This window comes from Homo sapiens, chromosome 15, assembly GCF_000001405.40.
Source record: "Homo sapiens chromosome 15, GRCh38.p14 Primary Assembly".
NCBI classification, from domain to species: domain Eukaryota; kingdom Metazoa; phylum Chordata; class Mammalia; order Primates; family Hominidae; genus Homo; species Homo sapiens.
Window position 1 is genome coordinate 74,552,571 of NC_000015.10, and position 19,375 is coordinate 74,571,945.

The window sequence follows — 19,375 nt, forward strand, 5'->3', positions numbered from 1 at the left end:
TAAAAATTCTCTGTGCTTCACCTATTCATCTTTCCCTCCCCCTTAACCCCTGGCAGCCCCTGATTCTTTTCCTGTCTATGGTTTTGTCTCCTCCAGAATGTTATATGGTGGGATCATTAATGTAGCCTTTTTAGATTGGCTTTCTCCACTTAGTAATGTGCATTTAAGCTTCCTCTATATCTTTTTATGGCTTAGTAGCTTATTTCTTTTTGTGCTGAATAATATTTTGTTTTCTGGACATACCACAGTTTATCCATTCACCTCCTGAAGGACGTCTTGGTTGCTTCAAAGTTTTGGCAATTATGAATAAAGCTATCATACACATCTGTATACAGGTTTTTGTGTAGATATAAGTTTCAGTTTATCTGGGTAAATACCAAGAAGCGTGATTGCTGGATTGTGTGGTAAGAGTATTTTTAGCTTTCTAAGAAACTGCCCAACTGTGTCTCAAAGTGGGTGTACCATTTTGCATTCCCGTCAGCAGTGAATGAGCTTCTGTTGCTCCACATCCTCACCAGCATTTGGTATCGTTAGTGCTTTGGATTTTGGCCATGTTCCTTTAACTGAAATTTTTATTTAGCTAATTATAGATTCACAGGGAGTTGAAAGAAAGCAATGTCATGTACACTTTGTCCAGTTTCCCTATGGTAACAGCATATACAGGTATAGTATGCTGTCATACCTGGATATTGATGTTGACATCATCCACTGATCCTACTTAGATTTCTTCTTCAGTTTTACATGTACTCATTTGTGTGTGTTCTGTTTTTAAGCCATTTTAGTTTTACGTTGAACACATTTTTTGAAATTCTTGTTACTTAATAAATGCATTCAAGGCTATAGAGTTTTCCCTGGATCTCACTTTTGCTGTACCCCACAAGTTCTGATGTGTAGTGGTTTCATTGTTGGCTAGTACTAAACATTTTATAATTTCAGTTTTAATTGCTTCTTCAACTCATGGGTTGTTAAAAGTATTTTTTGGTTCCCAAATATGTGGGTTTTATCTCTTTTCCAGTATTATTTTATAGCTTGATTACATTGTAGTTGGGAAACGAGCATGGTATCAATTCTCTGAAATTTAAGATATTCTTTATGTTGGCCTTATGTGTGATTAGTTTCTATAAATGTTCCATGTGTGCTTGGAGAGAATGTATGTTAATCCATTTCATTATAAGGATTAGTGATACATTTGGATCTATTTCTGCCCTCTTTTTTTTGTTTTGTTTTTTAATTTTTATTTATTTATTTATTTATTTATTTATTATTTTTTGAGACAGAGTTTCGCTCTTGTTGCCCAGGCTGGAGTGCAATGGCACAATCTCGGCGCACTGCAACCTCCGCCTCCCGGGTTCAAGAGATTCTCCTGCCTCAGCCTCCTGAGTAGCTGGGATTACAGGCATGCACCGCCACACCCAGCTAATTTTGTATTTTTTTTGTTGTTGTTTATTTTTTTTGAGACAGAGTCTCGCTCTGTCGCTCAGGCTAGAGTGCAGTGGCACGATCTTGGCTCATTACGAGCTCCGCCTCCTGGGTTCATGCCATTCTCCTGCCTCAGCCTCCCAAGTAGCTGGGACTACAGGCGCCTGCCACAACGCCTGGCTAATTTTTTGTATTTTTAGTAGAGAACGGGGTTTCTCCATGTTGGTCAGGCTGGTCTCGATCTCCTGACCTCAGGTGATCCACCCAACTCGGCCTCCCAAAGTGCTGAGATTACAGGCATGAGCCACCATGCCCAGCCCTGTTTGTTTTTGAGATGGAGCCTCTCTCTGTCACCCAGGCTGGAGTGCAGTGGCATGATTTCTGCTCACTGTAACCTCTGCCTCCCGGGCTCAAGCAGCCCTCCCGCCTCAGCCTCCCAAGTACCTGGGATTACAAGCATGCGCTACCACACTCGGCTAATTTTTGTATTTTTAGTAGAGACAGGATTTCACCATGTTGGCAAGGCTGGTCTTGAACTCCTGACTTCAAGTGATCTACCCGCCTCAGCCTCCCAAAGTGCTAGGATTACAAGTGTGAGCCACAGTGCCTGGTCATGCCCTCTTATTTTGGATTTTCAATTTAACTATACTTTTCTTGTTTTCTCTTTTTCTGTCTTGTATTGATTTGATCGAGTTTTATTTATTTAGCCTTTATGTCCTTTGCTGGTCTAGAAATTATACTTTTCTGTTTTTATTCTTCTATTGGTTACTTTTAGATTGTAATTTATATTCTTTTTACACTAAAGGCATATCTCAGAGATATTGCAGGTTCAGTTCCAGACCACCACAATAAAGCAATATTGCAATAAAATAAGTCATACATTTTTTGTTTCCTGTATAAAAATTATGTTTATTCTCTGGTCTATTAAGTATACAGTAGCTTTCATTATACCTAAAAAAAAACAACAATGTACATACCTTAACTAAAATGTTTTATTGCTCTTGAATGTTCCCAGCACAAAGAAATGGTAGATGTTTGTGGTGATGGAGATGCTAATTACCCTGATCTGATCACTATACATAATATGTATGAAAACAACTCTGTGTACCTCATTAATATATATAATTATTATTTGTCAATTAAAATTAAAGTAATACTTTATTACAAGAAAAACAATAACAAGTATCTGAGCCTTCAGCGAGTTGTAATCTTTTTGTTGATAGAAGGTCCTGCCTTGATGTTGATGGCTTCTGACTGATCTAGGTGCTGGGTACTGAAGCTTGGAGTGGCTGTGGCAATTTCATAGAATAAGACAACAGTGAAGTTTGCTACGATTGACTCTTTTTTTTTTCTTTTTTGAAGCAGGGTCTCACTCTTTCACCCAGGGTGGAGTGCAGTGACGCAATCACAGCTCACTGCAGCCTCGACCTGTTGGGCTCATGTGATTCTCCCACCTCAGCCTTTTGAGTAGCTGGGGCCACGGGCATGTGTCACCATGCCCAACTAATTTTTAAAAATCTTTTGTAGAAACAGGGTCTCACTGTGTTGCCTAAGCTGGTCTCAAAACTCCTGGTTCAAGCAATCCTCCTGCCTCAGCTTCCCAAAGTGCTGGGATTACAGGCATGAGCCACCATGCCTGGCCCCAGTTGCTATTTTGACCTCCTCCCATGAATCATGAAATATTCTTGATGACACCTAGAACAGTGAATCCTTTCCAGAAGGTTTCCAATTTGCTTTGCCCGGATCCATAAGAGGAATCCCTGTCTATGGCAGCTGTAGCCTTACGAGCTGTATTTCTTTTTTTTTTTTTTTTTTTTTTTGAGACGGAATCTCACCTTGTTGCCCAGGCTGGAGTGCAGTGGCACAATCTCCGCTCACTGCAAGCTCCGCCTCCCAGGTTCATGCCATTCTCCTGCCTCAGCCTCCCGAGTAGCTGAGACTACAGGCGCCCACCAGCATGCCCGGCTAATTTTTTGGTATTTTTAGTAGAGACGGGGTTTCACCGTGTTAGCCGGGATGGTCTCGATCTCCTGACCTTGTGATCCGCCCGCCTCAGCCTCCGAAGGTGCTGGGATTACAGGCTTGAGCCACCGAGCCCGGCTATCTGGGCTTTCAACATGCCTTCCTCACTAAGCTTAATAATTTCTAGCTTTTGATTTAAAGTGAGAGACATACAACTCTTCCTTTCATTTGAATACTTAGAGGTCATTGCAAGGTTACTAATTGGCCTAATTTCAGTATGGTTGTGTCCAAGAGAGTAGGGAGGCCCAAGAAGAGGGAGAAAGATGGAGGAACAGCTAGGGTGGTTGGTGGAGCAGTCAGAATACATACAACATTTATCAGTGAAGTTTGATATCTTATATGGGTGTGATTCTAGGCTCTCCAAAGCAATTACAATGGTAACATCAAAGATGACTGATCACAGATCACCATAACAGATGTAATAATTTTTTTAAGTGTGAAATACTACGAGAATTACCAGTATGTGACAGAGACACAAAGTGAGCACGTGCTGTTAGAAATTAGGTGTGCTGTGCTTTCAAACATTGGTACCTTAGAAATTCTAGTTTTAACATCTACCTCTCCAATCCTATTTACCAGTTTATAGTGGCCAGTATTTTAGTTCTAATTTGTTTTAACCCGTCCCCAAATTAGTTTTTTTCCCCTCACAGTTATTATTTATTTAGACTTACGAAGTTTATCCATTTCTTTTCTCACCATTACTTGATCCTACTCATTCCCTCTGGGCTCACTTTCCTTTTCCTTTTTTCTTTTTTTTGTTTTTTGTTTTTTTTTTTTTTTTGAGACGGAGTCTCACTCTGTTGCCCAGGCTGGAGTGCAGAGGTGCAATCTCGGCTCACTGCAACCTCTGCCTGCCAGGTTCAAGCGATTCTTCTGCCTCAGCCTCCTGAGTAGCTGGGACTACAGGCGTGTGCCACCATGCCCAGCTAATTTTTGTATTTTTTTAGTAGAGACAGGGTTTCACCATATTGGCCAGGCTGGTCTCGAACTCCTGACCTCGTGATCCACCCGCTTCGGCCTCCCAAAGTGCTAGGATTACAGACGTGAGCCAGCATGCACAGCCTCCTTTTTCTTTATTTACTAACTTTTTTTAGCAGAGACTTATATGTAATAAAAGTCTTGGCCAGGCATGATGGCTCATACCTATAATTCCAGCACTTTCGGAGGCCAACGCAGGCGGATTGCTTGAGCCCAGGAGATCAAGACCAGCCTGAGCAACATGATGAAACCCTGTCTCTACCGAAAAAAAAAAAAATTAGCCAGATAGGTTGGTACCTGCCTGTAGTCCCAGCTACTTGGGAGGCTGAGGTGGGAGGATCTCTTGAGCCCAAGAGATGGAGGCTGCAGTGAGCTATGATGGTGCCATGCACTCCAGCCTGGATGAGAGTGAGACCCTGTCTCAAAAAAAAAAAATTGTGGTATGTTTGAAACTTTCAAAAAATCTTTTTATTTTGCCCTCACTTTTGTACAGTTGTTCATAGCTTTAGATTCTACATTGACCATTATTTTTTTCTTCACCCTTAATGATAAGATTTCATTGTTTCCTAACAACTGTTTTTGCTGTTGAGAAATCTAGTGTCAGTCTGTTAATCTTTTTCTAGCTTTTTATTTAAAGTGAGAGACATACAACTCTTCCTTTCGCTTGAATACTTAGAGGCCATTGCAAGGTTATTATTGGCCTAATTTCAATATGGTTGTGTCCAAGGGAGTAGGGAGGATCTTTTTCTCTCTTGTAGCTTTTAAGATTTTTTCTTTTTGACTCTGCTATTCTGCACTTTAATTACAGTATTCTAGGTTTCGACTTACTTTTTTTTTTTTTTTTTTTTTTGAGACGGAGTCTCACTCTGTCGCCCAGGCTGGAGTGCAGTGGCATGATCTCAGCTCACTGCAAGCACTGCCTTCAGGGTTCATGCCATTCTCCCGCCTCAGCTTCCTGAGTAGCTGGGACTACAGGCGCCCGCCACCACGCCTAGCTAATTTTTTGTATTTTTAGTAGAGACAGGGTTTCACTGTGTTAGCCTGGATGGTCTCGATCTCCTGACCTCATGATCCGCCCACCTCGGCCTCCCAAAGTGCTGGGATTACAGGCGTGAGCCACGCGCCCGGCCTTTCAACTTACTTTTATTCCACTTGGGTCTCTGTCTGCTCCTTCAATCTGGTTTGTGTCTTTTTTTTTTTTTTTTTTTTGGGTACTATTTTTTCTTAACCAGTATTCTAATAGAAGTATTTGAACCTCCTCATTCAGTCTCCTGTGCGTCTTTTCTTTTAAAATCTTATGTATTTATATCATTCTCCTGCATTCTGGATTATTTTCACATTTAATTTTCTAATTTCTAATTCTGTCTTCAGCTCTATCTGTTCTACTTTATGGCTCTTTAAAAAATGGTTTGTCGTAATTATTGTGTTTGTTTATAAATTTTTTGGCATTTAAAAATCTGCCTGTTTTTACTTTATGGTTTCTATTCCTTCAGCTCTTTGAACATCTTTGACTTTTTAAAACTTTATATTGGAATTGCTAAAACTCATTTATGGAAATTTCATACATACAAAAAAAAAAGAATAGTAATGAACCATCTGTGTTCTTTAATCAGCTTTCAACAAGTATCAACAGTCTGCCATTCTTTTTAAACATGCTTATTTTAAAGATGCTTTTAGAGTCTATTATTATCTCTAATTCTTGGGGTGCAAGTTCTTCCTGTGTCATGTTACTGTCCCTTAAGATGGTTTATTTCCTCTTGGTTTGTTTTTGTTTTTTTTCCAGTGTAAATTCATTTTGAGTGGGGATTTGTTTCTGTAGGAATCCCATGTGCCTTGGATGGTGGAAGCATTCCTAAGGGGAGTTTTGTTTTTCCCTCTGCTGGGGCTGCACAAGTTTAGCTCGTTGCATTGGTTTGGGTAGTGTGAATTTGAAGCCTACATCTGTGCCTAGTGAGAGCCCCTCAATATGAGTCCCCTGCCAGATGGCACGGTTCCTTGCAGCTTCGCCGGGCTGGTGGGCAGTGTTTTTAGGCCCAGTTTATGGCGGGCCATGTAGTCTCTCATGGCCTCTGGCTTTATGCAGTTGTTTCTGTTCTGGTTCCTGGCATGCAGGGGCCTACAGCCTGGACTCCCTTCTCTTGGGGTTGATTCAGTCTCCAGCTCTCAGTTCAGCACTCGGCTCTTAAGAACCCTATTCGGGTCATGTTCTCCCTTGAGCCCTTCAGCTTTGCCACTTGCTCACTGATTGCTACCATTTTGTTTCTGCTGCTGTGGACTCTGCTTTCTTTCTGGGTTTCAAGCTCAGCTATGTATGCAACGGGTAGAGTGTTAAATGTTATCCAGCTTTTCTATGTGAGGTTTTCTTTGGGGAAGAAGCGAGGGAGATGGTGGAGTTCCTTCACATCAGACTATCCTCACTCACAGTTTTGTTTGCTTGTTTTCTTGTTTTTGTTTTTTAATAACTAAGACTTTTTGACCTCTTATGTGCCAAGTACCTTATTTCATTTCATTGTGTGAGGCAGGTCCTAATATTATCCCCTTTATGTGTTTGTTTTATTTACAGATGAGGGAAAAGGTCAAGTGGGAAGCTTGTGGTCTCACAGTTGGGAAGCTGGCTAGTGAACCCAGGTGGTCTGACTTCTAGCTCCATATTCCCTCTTGCTCCCTTCCAGATAGAACAGGAGAAAAATAATCTTTCCTTAGTGGTTTTATTACTCTGCAAATGACTTTTACTTATTTTTTCTGATTGTCAAGGTAATGCAGGCTCATTTTAGAAAACATGGAAAATGTAAAAATTTGTAAAGAAGAAAATACAATCACTACAGCCACATAACTTAGATTTAATATAACTATAAACATTTGTTGTACTTGCGTTTTGAAGAAAAATGCCTACTATAGATACAGTTTTAAATTTTATATACAGGCTGGGTGCCGTGGCTCACACCTGTAACTCCAGTACTTTGGAAGGCCAAGGCAGGTGGATCGCTTGAGCCCAGGAGTTTGAGACCAGCCTAGGCAACATGGCGAAACCCTGTCTCTACTAAAAAAAAAACCACACACACAAAAATTAGCCGGAGTGGTGGCACACACCTGTAATCCCAGCTACTCAGGAAGCTGAGGCAGAAGAATCACTTGAATCTGGGAGATGGAGATTGCAGTGAGCCACGATTGCACCACTGCACTCCAGCCTGGGCAACAGAGCAAGACTGTCTCAAAAAAAAAAAAAATTTATATACAATTTTGTGCTTAACTTTTATCACCTAACAGGCCTTGAGCAATTTAAAGTATTACTTTAAAATATTTTAGTTTTCAAAGTATATTACAGAAGTAATAATAACTCAAATAATTTTAGAAATTTGGAAATGTATGAAATAAAAGTCTGACTCTTCAGGTGTAATTGTTAACAGTTTGGTCTACACCTTCTTGGAGCTTTTTCTTTTCACAAATATATTTTGTCTGTTCTACATATTGTTCTACCACTTGCTTTTGTACTCTGCTCTGGCAGTCCTCCATGAGTGTTCATGAAGATCTATTTTTCGTGTTTTTATAATTATTTATTTAAAATCACATAAGCGGTATGAATAGGTGCTCATGAAAATTAAAACAATATGGAAAAATACAGAGTAAAAATTCGTAGTTAAAAAAATACCATGGTGTCCTGTTGCCTGTCCTGTGTCCTTACACCTCACAAGTAGGAGTGAATCAGCTTCTAGGACTGTTTCTGTGTATTTACTGACTGAAGTGTGCAGTCACAGAACATGTGAGTGTGAATGTACTTGTGTATGTGTGTGTAGTATGTGTAACCCTATGCCCTGGTATATGTATTTCTGTGGTGGGATAGATTATTATAGATGTTGATTAGGTGTCTATGTATATGTTAGCTTTTCAATATATACTGTTAATTACCCTCAAAGATATTACTCCGCTTTGCTACCGGTGATATATTTTCCCAAACCCTTGTCAACATTGGTTATTATCAGTCCTTTTATTTTTGCTGTCTTTTCATATGTTTATGAAACTCCTGGGCTCAAGCAATCCTTGTGCTTCAGCCTCCCAAAGTGCTGGGATTATAGGTGTGACCCACCGTGCCCAGCCCGTAGTTTGTCTTTCAACTTGATGTGTGGTTCTTTAATCAAGTAGGGGTTTAAAATTTTGATATAGCTAAATTTATTGATTTTTCTCTTTATGGTTTCTGTCATACTTGAGAAGGCCTTTCCCTAAGATTACAAAAAATATTCTCTATTCTTAATACTTTATGGTTGTGTTTTTAATCGTAGCTCTTTACTACATCTAGAATGAATGAGAAGGATGAATAGAATGAATAGGAATCAAGTGTGTTTAAAGAGTATTGCTATTTTTGATGGCTGCATAATGTTTTATCACATGGATAGCACCTTCATGTGTTGCCCATTCCCTTAATGTCAGACATTTAGACTGCTTTAAATTTTTTACTCTTATAAATAAAATTATACTGTATTTCTAGTTATTTCCTTAGGATAGAGTCATAGACCAGAATTACAAGATCAGGAGGAGACTAAGAAAGTGAGGCAGTTATAAGCAGGGACTTAAAGCTGCCCTGCCTGCAATTGATTCCCAACTCCACCATTTGGTCACTTTGTAACCAAGTCACTGGACTTCCTTTTGCTTTGGTTTTCTCATCTGAAGAGTAGGGATAATAATAGTACCCACTTCAGAGCACTGTGCTGAGGATTAAATGTCAATACATATAAAATGCTGGAATAGTGCCTGGCAGGTAGTTAGCACAGATAGTCCCTGACTTAAGATGGTTCAACTCAACTATTTTTCAACCTTATGGTGGTACAAAAGCCATGCACACTCAGTAGAAACTACTTCAAGTACCCATACAACTATTCTGTTTATCCTCTTCCATTGTAGTATTCAGTAAATTACAAGATACTCAACATGTTATTATAAAATAGGCTTTGTATTAAATGATTTTGCCTAATTGTAGGCTAATATATGTGTTCTGAGCACGTTTAAGGTAGGCTAGGTTGCACTCCAGCCCTGGCGACAGAGCAAGACTCTGTCTTAAAAAAAAAAAAAAAAAAAGCAGGCTAGGTTAAGCTATGATGTTTAGTAGGCTAGGTGTATTAAATGCATTTCCGACAACGGTATTTTCTTTTCTTTTCTTTTCTTTTCTTTTTTTTGTGAGTTGAAGTCTTGCCCTGTCGCCCAGGCTGGAGTGCAATAGCACGATCTTGGCTCACTGCAACCTCCACCTCCCAGGTTCAAGCAATTCTCCTGCCTCCACCTCCCGAGTAGCTGGGATTACAGGCATCCACCACCACACCCAGCTAATTTTGTATTTTTAGTAGAGACTGGGTTTCACCATGTTGGCCAGGCTAGTCTCGAACTCCTGTCCTCAGGTGATCCGCCCACCTCGGCCTCCCAAACTGCTGGGATTACAGGCATGAGCCACCATGCCCAGTCCAATATTTTCAACTTCTGGTGAGTATATTGGGTTGTTAACGCCATCATAAGTATTTTTCTGTTTTCTGAGACAGGGTCTCACTGTCTCCCGGGGGGAATGCAGTGGTGTGATTGCTGCTCACTGCAGCCTGGAACTCCCAGTCTCAACCAATCCTCTCACCACAGCCTCCCAAAGTGCTGGGATTACAGGCACGAGCCACCTCACCTGGTCCCCATCATAAGTTGAAGAGCACGTGTACTCAATTATTAGTTGTTGCTGCTGCTGTTTTTATTGTGATAGGCATTTTAAGGCAAGTGACTTTCCAGAAAGTCATACTATTTTATATTTCCAGTATGGGAATATGGGAGATCCCATTGTACCAACCCTTGTTGTCACTGAAAATTATTTTTTGAAGCTTTGCTAATTTTACATATGAATCATGGGCCCCTTTTTTAAAAATACAAATTCTTATGTTTAGCTCTTGGGCCTTAAAATTTACCTGCTATCTTTAGGAAATGACTTATATTGCCTTCTAGACCCCTTTTCTAGAGTTGTCGTTTAGAACTAGCAGCCCACCTTCTTTTAAGTGTGTTCTGATTTTCCCCCCAGATTATTCACTTAGCTTGTGCTGAGTCTCCTAAGTTTATTCCCGTTGGCTTGTTCTTCAGGTATCAACATTCATTTGAGCCTCGACCACCTGTCAGGCCCTGTGCTTGATGCACCAGCCTCACAGAGGAGTCAATCACTATCCCCATGTGAGAGAGCCTCAGCCTGGTAGAGGTGGCCGGTGGCATAGGGACAGTTGTCATCAGAGAAGGAATGTGTATATCATAGTAGCACCCCAGGATGGGGGTGTGGACCTGGAGGAAGCCTTAGGAGAAGCTCTGAGAAATCTGTGAATGCAGCTGACTTTTAAACACAAACTGTGACTGTGTTCTGCCTGAGGACACCCAAACTTGTGGAATCCCAAATTTGAAAATAAAGGAGGGATTTTTTAACTTTGTAAAGTAACTTATGATAGTAATTTTTAAAAATGTTGTTCTTCCTATACATTTAAAATGTGTTGTTTGGGGGGAAAAAAAAGTTTTATGAAACTTTTGGGCAAGTTTCCAACCTCTTAGGTCTGTTTCCTTTCTGTCACCAGCGGGTCCATTGAAGTGTTCTTGTGCTGGGCTCTCCAACTCTGACTTTGTGCAACTCTGTGTGGAGCCTCTGTGGTGTGGATGGATGTCAGCAACCATTGTGGAAGTTCAGGTGGTAGCTCAAGGGTTGGAGTAAGCCGTAGTGCTGCCAAGTCAGATTCTGCAGAGAAAAGGAGCTAGGACTTACTTACCTCTGTGGCTCTCGGACTTGGACTTGGCTGGGCCAGTTCATGCCTTGGTATCAGGGTGTCCTCATCACCAACAATGTATTTTAGTTTTTCTGCCACCTTTGGTAGGAACATCTATTTCTGGGAAGTCTTCTTGATCATTGCATGGAGTGATTCTGTGCTTAGTGGAAAGGTGGGACCGCTGCCCTCTCTTCCTCCCCTGCTCTGCCCGCTTTCTACAGCTTAATCAGAGAAGTGTCCTTTAGCTCTTTTCCAAGCCACTGAGTTTGAATTGATCTCCGCTGCTAGCAAGAGGTGGGAAGGCTCTTTCTGGTTCCTGCTAAAGTTACCTGACAGCGGAAGGTGTGCATCTGATAATTATAACTCTAGTGTTTCCAAGGCCTGAGCGATTTAGTTAAGAGCACTAATCCTGATCTTATCAAGAGGGTTTTGTAGTCCAACAGTGTTGCTTATAACAGTATCTGTTTTACTTCCTGGGGCTCCCCTCCCCTCTTAGGATTCTCCTGTAATCCTGCCCATTATGCCTTGTGCATGTCTCATTACCTCCTGAAATCAGTTAAAACTGGTATGAGGGCAAAGAGCATTTTTTCTTTTCTTCATACCAAGATCTGAGAATTGGATTTTTAACATTACATCATTAATCAGGCCAGCAGTAGAGTAGTCACAAATGTGGTATACGTAATGCCTGCAGAGCCATGGATCTGGCCAATGATAAGATAGTTTATTTGTTGCTTATTAAAAACAACAACAGCCACAGTCAGCCCAAATGCTTTAGTTACATTTTGTATTTTGGAGCAGTTAGTTGCCATCCATGAGCTTGGGATCAGCCCCTTTGAAGTCTAACGATTTTCTTTTTCTTTTTCTTTTTGAGACAGGGTATCACTCTGTCACCTGGGCTGGAGTGCAGTGGTTCAATCATGACTCATTGCAGCCTCCATCTTTCAGGCTCAAGCAATCCTCCTATCTCAGCCTCCCAAGTAGCTTGGACTACAGGCACATGCCACCACACCCAGCTAATTTTTTAATTTTTTGGTAGAGATGGGGTTTCACCATGTTGCCAGGCTGGTCTCAAACTCCTGGGCTCAAGTGATCCACCTGCCTCAGCCTCCCAAAGTGCTGAGATTACAGTCATGAGCCACCATGTCTGGCCTGAAGTCTAGTGATTTTCTAATGATTACTTTGAGGTTCAGGTCCTAGGAGTTTGCTTAAATCCTTGACCTTGGGATTCATAATCTATTTGATTTATAGAGAATAGACACATTACTGTTCTGTGTCTTTTTTTTTTAAATTAATTATTATTTTTTATTTTTTTGAAATAGGGTCTTGCCCTGTTACCCAGGCTGGAGTGTAGTGGTACAATTGTATCTCACTGCAACCTCAGCCTCCCAGGCTCAAGCGCTCCTCCCACCTCATCCTCCCAAGTAGCTGGGACTATAGGCATGTGCCACCATGCCCAGCTAATTTTTTTATTTTTTTAATTTTGTAGAGATGGAGTCTCCATATGTTTCCTAGGCTGGTCTCAAACTCCCGGGCTTAAGCAGTCCTTCCACCTCAGCCTCCTAAAGTGCTGGGATTACAGGTGTGAGCCACCGCACCCTGTTCTGTGTCTTCAGAGAACTCTCAAGAATCTCTATAAAAGTTGTCAGTATGCACAATGGCAATTTAAGGACAGGGCAGTTTCTGAGAGGTTCCAAAATATCAGGAACCCAAGTGAAGACTTGTTAGCTCAGCCCCTGGGCTTTAAACCCCAAGGAAGGGTTAACCCTTGCCTTGGGGAGGAATGAGGTATGGGAACTAAAATTGCTTTGGACATCTGAGCTGTGCTTTAATAAGATATTCCAGGTGGTCAAGGAGTAATCCTAAAATAGCCTAGATACTTAATTGCTTTTAAAGTCAGGCGCTTCTGTCTCTGGGGAAGTGCAGCTCTAAGGAATGCAGAGCTGGCTCCTAAGATCTTAGAAGCATGGTCTCGTTGTTTTTTTTGTTTTTTTTTTTTTTAATCCCAGTAAAAAGAAAAGGCCCAAGGTAGCCTTCTTGGATCAGGAGACCTTTGTTAAATCTACCTCTTTCTTCTCATTGGAAGATTGGCAGTAAGCCATTGGCTTCTCCTGCTGCCAGGTGCCATAACCTGGCTTCTTCCAGGGCTGTGAGATTGGTGTTGTCACCCCACCTCACTAGGCAGTGGTCTGTTTTCATTAGTGCTTAAAGGCTTCCTGCTTGATCCCCTGTCCAGCCTCTGTTTGCATCAGAACATACCTTTCTCACTATAAGAATTCAGATTAATCCTTCTCTTTCTCTTTCATCCCCTCAATCCAGATCCAGTTGATTCTCCATTTATGGCACTGATTTCTCCCTCATTCTGCTACTCTCCGTCTCCCCCAGTCCCACATTCTCAGCTTGGGCTACTGCACAGCCACCTACCCCCAGTGCAGGCTTTCCCTCTCAGATTTTCAATACCATTTACAAAATCTGTCAGCATTACAAGTCATTACTGAGGGGCATTAAAAATATTTTTGATTAAATGAAAAATCATACTACTCTCTTACTTGTAATTGAAAGACTAAATAGGCCAGGCGCAGTGGCTCACACCTGTAATCCCATCACTTGGGGAGGCTGAGACGGGCAGATCACCTGAGGTCAGGAGTTTGAGACCAGCCTGGCCAACATGGTAAAACCCGTCTCTACTAAAAAAAAATACAAAAATTAGCTGGGCATGGTGGCGCGTGCCTGTAATCCCAGCTGCTCAGGAGGCTGAGGCACCAGAATCACTTAAACCAGGGAGGCGGAGGTTGTAGTGAGCCCAGATTACACCACTGCACTCCAGCCCGGGTGACAGAGTGAGACTCTGTCTCAAAAAAAAAAAAAAAGAGACTAAATAAATTTTGTGAAGGTGTCCGTTCTATGAGAAATTCTCTATGATTTCAGTGCAGCCTGGTTCCAAATCTTCATTGTAGGGTGGAAAGCAAATGATAAGTCGTGACAAATGGTTCAGATTAATCTAGAAAATAATATAATTTTTAAAATAAAAAAAGAGCATAATTGCATTTTGTAATTGTTTGTCTCTCTCTCTCTCCATTAGACAGTAAGCTCCATGAGGTGATCATCTGTCTTGTTCCTTTTCCTTCAGAACCTTTTACCATAACTGGTAAATTCTAGGTGATCAAGTGTTTGTACATGAATGAATATAATGGAAAAAAAAGGAAAAGTGAAAATCCCCCAGTTCCAATCCGATTAGGTGTCTATGTACATTTGTATGTTTCTGTTATTTTTTTTTTCAACAAAAATGGGCCACTAAAGCAGTCTAAAACATTGATTTAATCATGTGCTTTCCTGTCCAGAAAACATCCACTGCCTCCCCACTGTTCACAGTTCAGAGTTTAAATTTCCTTCTGGTATTCAAGGCATCTCACAGCCCCTTTCAACTTTAACTATTCAGACTTTCTGTCCTTATATCCTCCCTGTCAAAACATGCCTTGTTTATACCCCACTCCATGCTCATTTAGACTGCAAATCTCCCTTCAACCCATTCTTCAAGGCCAGCTTAACCTCCACCTCTAAGCCATCCAGCCTTTTCTTCTACCTCCTGAGTACCTTGGGTTTTCCTATTTGTTGTCTTGCTATTATATGCTATATGTGTTCAGTTTGTTTTTCCAACTTCATGGTAAGACTCCCAGTGGTGGGAACAATTTTTTTTTTTTTTAGTGGTATTCTCAGCAGCTTGCACAATGCTCTACCTGGGGTAGGTTCTCAGGAAATCTGTGTTGAATAAACTTGTCATCAGGTCTTTGCTTCTCAGGACAGAAAGGGCCCCTAGAGACCATCTCATCCACCCTGTCTCATGTTGGATTCCACGCCATGACATGCCATACAGATAGTCATCCAGAGACAGGAAGTTGCCCACCTCCTGGGAAGCTCACTCCATTACCAGGCAGTTCTACTTGTTTTAAAAAGTCCTTCTGTAGACCTGAAATCTTCCTCAGGGTAACTTCTGCCTATCACACTAGTTGTGCCCTCTGGAGCTTTAGAAGAAAGGAGGAAAAAGCCTAGTTTCTCTTCACTCACTACCTTTAGATTTTCAAAGATAGTCTGTTTATTTCCCCTGTGTGCTGTTGAAATGGGTTCCAGGGTTGAGATGCTGGAGAAGCACTATTCTAATTTTGAGTAGCAGTCAGGTCAGACCTTGATTCATTATTTTTGAAGGCCTGTGTGTGCATGTCACAGTGTAAGCTGCCATCTTCCTCTGGTCCATTCAGAGGTGTAGCCCTCTTCTCTTTTTCTCCTCTCCCCTGATCCTCTGTCTTCTGGGGGAAGATGGGCCCATTCTACTGGAATGGTCTATTTTGGAGGGAGGGGTAAAAAGTTAGCAATTCTTATTTCAGTACCGCCAGATAACTCTCCTGGGCAAGCATTGTGTGAGGGCTGCTTTTCGTTTGGCTAAAGTGCCCAGGTGAAGCCATGAGATAAAGCAAAGATAAAAGAGTCTCCCATTGATAGGAGCTGCCCAGTGCCATGACATGGGCATTTCAGGCATCTCTGGACAGAGGATTTTATTCTCACTTCCTTTTCTTCTTTTCTCCCTTCCTGATCTCCTTATCCAGAACACTTCGTGTTATTCTTTCAAACTACAAGTCAGTATGGTGTAACAGCGAGAGCCAGACAGACCTAGGTTTACATCCTGGCACTGTCACTAAGAAGCTCTGAGACCCTGAGCAGGTTATTTGAGCTCTTTGAGCCATTGTTTTCCCATTTCTAAAATAACCACTTCTACATTATAGAATTAAGTGAGAAAATGCTTGTAAGGCTCCTGGTACAATCCTTAGTATGCAGAAGGCACACAAACACTAGCTTCCTGCTACCTTTTCTCTTTCCCCCAACCTTCTTTTCCTGGGGAAAATTAGCTGAATGTAGGTATAGTAGCCAAAGCTAGTCTTGGGTGTGTATTTGGGAGCAAACTATCAGTTTCCTGTGAGCTCCTGGAGAGATCAAAGATGTTAAAAGACAGTTCTCAAGTAGGAGAGGCTGAGAAGGCTGTAAATGGCAGTAAGTGGCCACTCTGGCTACTGTTGACTTCCCACACACGTTTCTGGGCTATATAATACTGCTGCCTGCTGCTGATGGTGTAACAAAGCCTGTTCCCTGGGCAGGTTAAACTTGCATGCAGCAACCCTTCAACTGAAATGCTTTCCTCATCAACCTCTTTTGATCCCTAAAATGTTGAGCTGTCTCTTTTTGGGTTTGTTTTCCCCACCCTCCATCTGCCTCTGCTGTTCCCTGCTTTCTTCCACCATTACAGTCTCAGTCAGCCACAGTCAGCATCCGAGAAAAAATTATTTCTGGGCTGATAATTTTCTAGTAGTCACACCCATACTCTATTGATAGGCCAAGAAACCTGCTGCACACAAACTTGAATTGCATAAGTGAGCCATGTTTTACAGCAGTTGATCAGAGTTAAGAACCAAGAAAATAACTGGTTAAGCCTGTAACCCACCCAATGAAAGGGGGAGGGGAAGACGGAGGAGCTGTGGGGTTGGAGGTCCCACAGGGGAGCCCATCTCTGTCTTTTAGCAGATATATCGGTGCTCCCTCTTCATTATTATTATTATTATTATTATTTTTGGTAGAGATGGAGTCTCCCTGACCAACCTGGCCAACATGGCAAAACCCCATCTCTACCAAAAATACAAAAATTAGCCGGGCGTACTGGCATGTACCTGTAGTCCCAGCTACTCAGGAGGCTGACGCAGGAGAATCGCCTGAACCTAAGAGGCAGAGGTCGCAGTGACCTGAGATCATGCCACTGCACTCCAGCCTACAAGAAAGAGACAGTCTTCCTATATTGCTCAGGTTGGTCTTAAAGTGCTGGAATTACAGGCAAGAGCCACCATGCCCAGCTGGTCAGTGCTTTCTATGTGCTCAGGGCTGGAGATACCCAGACGAGTAACTGAACACAGGTGGTAGAGCCCAGAGGAGAAAGGTGTTGAATCTGCCTGGTGGGCAGAGGCAGGAGGCTCTGCTAGACTGCGAAAGGCAGGCAGGGCTCAGGAATTACTCTCACCTCAGCCAGAAGATCCTGTGAAGTGGGACCAAAGTTTAACTGCCTTAAGACAAAGAATGGAATGCACGTTGGACATTTTTACATCAGCCCCAGCTGAATTGACCATCCTTGCCTTGGAGCTGGACGAAAGAAAATACCTCCTCTCTGGGCAACTATTTTCCCCACATTTTCTTTAAATAGAGTAACTGACAGTTCCTATCTGTGGAATGGGTCCAACAGTGGGATTACTCAAAGAGTTCGGTGTCTCATTTCTTTCCTGCTCTGGCAAGTCTTCCTGACCTCTGTGGTCACCAAGCTGGAGGCATTTTAAGCTAAGTGGGTCACACTTAGTGGGCTCTGTGCAAGGCCTCACCATCTGACTGTCAGATTCTCTTGCAGGTTGGACAAAGCTGGAGAAGCCAAGAGGACCCTACCAGCCCCAGCCCCCATCCTGCCAAGGCATTCTCCATGTGTGGAGCCGAGCGCTCACACTTGGGTGTTTATTTTCACACATAGTCACATAGTGGTCACACTAGCGTGCTTGTTTTCACACTGCTGTCCTTCTGTGGAAAGCCCTGTCTGACTTTTTAGGTTGTGGATTCCACCCTTTCCACCCAACTGAGTGTTAAATAGTTTTTGAGTGAGCATTCAGAGTGCTTGGAAGTTACTATAATTAGCAAAAAAAAAAAAAAAAAAAAAAAAAAAAAAAAAAAGTGTTTTCATCTCTCTTGGTGACTGATAGAGAAAGAGTCCTTCTGTGAATGAGATCAGCTTCAGAGCTCTCGCCAGAGAATTGGGAATTGAGCTGCCGCAGTAAACAGCTGACATAACAGAAGCGGCAATGATCCCCCATTAAATGTCTTTCAACTGATAGGGGCTCCTGGGATAATTGACTTTCCAGCAGGAATTACTGGCTCAAACAAAATCACTGGGCATTAGGGCAACCTACTGCATCCTTTGAAAGGGGGAATGTAACTCTGTCTGGTTTTGCTGACCTGACAGGCATAATTCATCTTGATTATTCATTGTGCTAGTTGCCACCAGATGACACCAGATTTCTGGTGACTGTAATTACAATGTGGGATGAGCTTTAACTTTTTTTTCTTTTTAAACAATGTTCCTCCCACTTGGCTATTGGCTCCCCTGTGCTGAAGGTGCTGTAGGAAGGGATCCAACAATGTCTGCCTTGAGAGATGATGAGTGCATGGTCAGATAGCATTTACCAAGCACTTCCATACACACATCTTTTACTAGATAAGCAGGGAAACAATTTGATGTAGTCTGTTTCATTTTAACTGACAGAGTGTCACTTCTTAGTTATACTTATGTCACTGTGTGCCAGATTGCTGCTATCGGAAAGTGGGTCTTCATCTCAGAGCCCACTGTGAATAGGGGAAGCAAAGTTGGCCCCAAAATATAACTGCATAATGCCTTCTGCTTTCAGACAAGCTTTATTAAAGGGGCAGGTGGAAGAGAGTGGAATTCAACCAAGCTTTTATTTCGTTGACATGGTTTTAGAAGAAGATTCCTGAGTAGTCCAAAGAATGTTCTCCCAAGAAACCACTGCTCCCCAGCCCCACATGTCCTTTCCTCACCACATACACACCCCAGCCAGCTGGGTGGCATGGTACGCATGCACCTGTGGTCCTGTGGGAGAAATGAATATGACAGGTTCAGTGTGTCCAGGCCACTGGGACCTCCACTGACCAGTGGGTCGGGGTGAACAAGAGAGTTATACTGTGAGAGTTCATACCCTCACTAGCACAAAGACTTTTTGACCCCCCTGTAAGGTATGTGTATGTTTTTTGAAGAGGTGCTTAATTGGTGTGCCAGGCAATGTGCTATGTGCCTGATGACAAAGATAAATAAGATACCTTTCCTTTCAAGGAGCTTACCATATGGTGAGGATGACAGATACTTCCCAAGTAATATGTTAAAATCTAAGCTAGAAGTGAACAGAGATTGCTTTTAGAGGGTTGAAGGGAAGGCTTCCTGCTGAAGAGATAACTGATTGGAGGAATAAGAGTTACTGGACTTGGCTGGGCGCAGTGGCTCATGCCTGTAATCCCAGCACTTTGGGAGGCCAAGGTGGGCGGATCACCTGAGGTCAGGAGTTCGAGACCAGCCTGGCCAGCATGGTGAAACCCCATCTCTACTAAAA

At 42.2% G+C, this 19,375-nt stretch overlaps 1 protein-coding gene across 4 annotated transcripts in view; it reads left to right on the plus strand.

The window, feature by feature from the left end:
- ARID3B (AT-rich interaction domain 3B) overlaps positions 1-19,375 on the plus strand; it is a 56,912-nt gene that overhangs the window by 11,351 nt on the left and 26,186 nt on the right. The gene's annotated exons all lie outside the window — the stretch shown is intronic.